The sequence below is a fragment of the Homo sapiens genome, chromosome 4 (assembly GCF_000001405.40).
Source record: "Homo sapiens chromosome 4, GRCh38.p14 Primary Assembly".
NCBI lineage: Eukaryota > Metazoa > Chordata > Mammalia > Primates > Hominidae > Homo > Homo sapiens.
In genome coordinates, this window is record NC_000004.12 from 27,461,662 (window position 1) to 27,465,293 (window position 3,632).

At 38.0% G+C, this 3,632-nt stretch overlaps 1 annotated feature.

Moving 5' to 3' along the window:
* Positions 1,964-3,163: an enhancer, noted in NCBI's record as "P300/CBP strongly-dependent group 1 enhancer chr4:27465247-27466446 (GRCh37/hg19 assembly coordinates)". NCBI's record gives its function as "activates an origin of replication core promoter dependent on BRD2, BRD4, P300/CBP, MED14 and CDK7 cofactors, with strong dependence on P300/CBP, by STARR-seq in HCT116 cells {active_cell/tissue: HCT116}" and the evidence as "EXISTENCE:reporter gene assay evidence [ECO:0000049][PMID:35650434]".

Consider the following 3,632-nt stretch of genomic DNA (forward strand, 5'->3'; position numbering starts at 1 on the left):
ATTACAAAATGATCAAATCAGTGTAATTAGTGTGCTCACCTCAAACATTTATTATCATTTGTTTGTGTTATGAACATTCAAAATCCTGTCTTTTAATTTTTTAAAATATACAATAAATTATTCTTAACCATAGTTACCCTACAGTACTATAAAACACTAGAATGTATTCCTCCTATCTAGCTGTAATTTTCTATCCGTTAGCCAACCTCTCCCTATTCTTCCCTCCCCTCATACCTTTCCCAGCCTTTAATAATCATATTTCTACTCTATTTCTATGAGCTCTTTTTTTTTTAGCTCCCACATATGCATGAAAATATGCAGTATTTATCTTTCTGTGGCTGGCTTATTTCACATAACATAATGTCCTCCAGGCTCATCCATATCTTGTTTATCATATTATAATCCACATCATCAGTTAAAAACCACACAATTTTCGTTAAGATAGTCCTCTCTCTACTCAGGCATCCCAAGGACACTTATATCTCCATCTTCAGTTTAACCTTTAGCACAAAGCCATTTATTACTGTTAGAACTGTTTACTGGTTTGAAAGACTAAGTAAGAAACAGTTCTATTTTCTAACCCAGCAAGTTCTAGGCAGTCTATATTTTTTTCAAAATTCCATTTGTGAACTGGAACAATTTCTTCTTTGTTCATTTCAACAATCTGCTTGCCAATATCCTTAGCCAAATCTACAACTTCATTAGGTACACATTCTATCTTCCAAATTTGTATAGTTTACAGCTTGACAATTGTTTGTCTATTTCATAAGAAAGGTCACAATTTTTGTGGCCTGTTACAGTTTTCTCACCACTTTTCAAGTATCTGTTAATAGTTTCCTTTCTGCTTTTCCAGCCTCCACCTGGAAACAGGTTCCAAAACCAATGACACCTGTATTAGATGTTTGTTACGGCAGCATCTCACTTCCAGGTAGGAATTGCTGTGTTAGTTAAGTTTTGCTGCATAACAAACCACCAGCAAACTTGGTGGCTTGAAACAACAATCACTTTTTAGCTCACAATTCTGTTGGTTGGCCATTTGATCTGGGCTCAGCTGGGATTACTTATCTCTGGCCCACATTGTACACTTGGCCTTGCTCTTACGCATAGGACCTCAGAGAAGGTGATCGTGATGTCTGGAATAACTGGATCTCTCTAAATGGAAGCTAGGTTGGGCTTTTGCCTATGTTGTCAATATTCTGTTAGTCAAAGCAATTTACAGGGACATTCAGATTCAAGAGGTAGAGACTTCATCCATTGGTGGTGAAGTGTCAAAAATCTCATGGCAAAGAAGAATGCATACAAGAATGGAAAAGTATTGTAGGTAAGTTCTGCAAGAGATTGACGGGAGATAAGTTTTAAGAGACTTAAAAAAAAAGCAGATAACTTTTTGTAAGTGTGGAAAAAATTGTGAATATTCTTACAGATTCAGCCAGAGGGCCAAGAGCCAATAAGAGTTAAAAAGATTTAGGCAAGAGAGTAGATAAATATTGGAGTAAATTTCCAGAGGTGATGGAAGAAAATGTGATAAACAGTATAGAACTGAATACTCTTCAGTGGACAGAAGAAAAAGACTACTGATCTTAGACAGAAGGGAAAAACCAAAGATGTGTGTCCGTGGAATGAAATTTGGATGGGGGTTGATAATTGAAATAATTCTCCCCTGGATATCATTATTTTCCAAATGAGAAAAATGACAATAAAGTTTGCTGAGTTAGTGGAATAGTAACTTACAGGTTATTGGTAAAGATGTAGAATAAACTCTGGGAGCAATGAGAGAGTTCATGGACCAGGGCTGAATTAATGCGTTTTTGCTGCATGTTTAAGGTGCTGTTGAGGCTGAAGACAAATAATTTGTAGTAGCAAGAAATGAAGAGCTGAGAAAGGAGAGTCATGCAGGGAAGATCATGGCTACCTTTTTATTTCTGAAGGATGACAGAGTACTGGCAACACTGTGAGAACTAAACCACGGGAAGACCAGATCAGAAGTAGGAACTGCTATGATGAGGCTGCATAACAAATTTCCCTCAAGCACAGAAGCTTAAAACAGCCACACTAATATATTCATGGATCCTGTTGGTCAGGAATACAGAAAGGGTACAACAGGGACAGCTTATTTCTGTTCCATGATGTCTGAGACCTCAAGACTTAAAAGCTGCAGGTGCTGTGGGTGAATTGATGGCAGGAGGCTGGGATTACATGAAAGCTTGTTCACCCGTATGGCTAGTTCCTAGAATGGGAGGAATAGATGATGAGCACCACTAGCCAGATAACCTATGCGGGCCACTCCATATGGTTCAGCTTCCTTGCAGCATGGCTGCCTGAGGCTGGTTTGACCCCTACCATGATAGCTCTGGGCTCCAGGCATGGGGTGAGTGTTTTAGCAAATAGGTGGAAGCTGAGTCACACTATATGATTCAGCTTTGGAAGTTTCACAGAGTTACAGCATTTTATTACTTACAGGCAAGTCACAAAACCACCTAGATTTAATGTAATGCAAGAAGAATAGTTTGCCCCTGTTGATGTGTGCACAGCAAGTTTTAGAAGACCGTATGGGTTGGGAGATATTCTTGAGGCCATATTTGGAAAACCCAGTCCATCATAGAGAATTTGCAGACATCTGAGCAAACAGAGGGGAAGCTTGGAAAAAAAGGTAGTGATAGCAGACACAGAGAGACAGCCTTGGGTTTGTAATATTCTTGACCTACGTAACTGATGGAACTGATTGCATCTCCTGAATCTTCTTCCTTTATGAGGATGTTTCAGGGATCAGGCATACAGTCAAAAATGCTGTTCACCAAACCTATACTCTGTGTCTTCATAGTTTCACTTCTGTATTTAACCAAATTTTTTAGTATTTTTTCTTCATTCACAGTGTAAAACATTGTAGAGGTCTATAAAGGAAAAGAAGTTATGGTCCTTTACTGCGGTTCCACAGAAGCAATTAAAAAATACAGGGCTAAAGTACCTGAGAGAAAAAATGTTACATATAGGCTCGTTTTTAAAAAGGAAATGTAATTACAACCTTTTAGAATGGCATACATAAATCAGTACTAAGGAGAAGGAAAATTTGAATATTTGAAGAGATAACTGACACACTGGGTTGGGGAAATGCAAATTATTTGGGTGAAATGTAAAACTACCTGGAGTAAAGAAAAACTCAGCCTTTTCTGCAGGCATTTATCTTGTTTCATTTGGAGATTTGTAAATGGAAGTTTTTAATCCCCTTTATTCATCTGGATCACCTGGCATGCCTTTGTGTGTACCTTTTTTAAATGGGCTGATCGCATTTACTTAAAAATCTTTTCTGTTTCCATGGATCTTCCTGATGAAAGGTTACATATTGAATGGGCCTCATGTCTGGAGGACAAGAATCTTTAACTTCCCTTGGATGTTTTTATCATGTGGGGGTTGGTCCATTGTGTACCGCAGTTTTGTCCTCTGAAATAAAAGAAAGAGCCAAAGTCTATTTGAACTTGAAAGACCTTCATAAAGATAACTGGGTGATAATGCAAAAACATTCATATCCTCATTTAGAAGACTTCCTAACTCAGGTGGAGCCAAAAGATTTTTTTCCCCAAGATGGGAATTAGGACCAGAGCTGAGATTTGGCAAACAAAAGTGCCTGTCTTAAA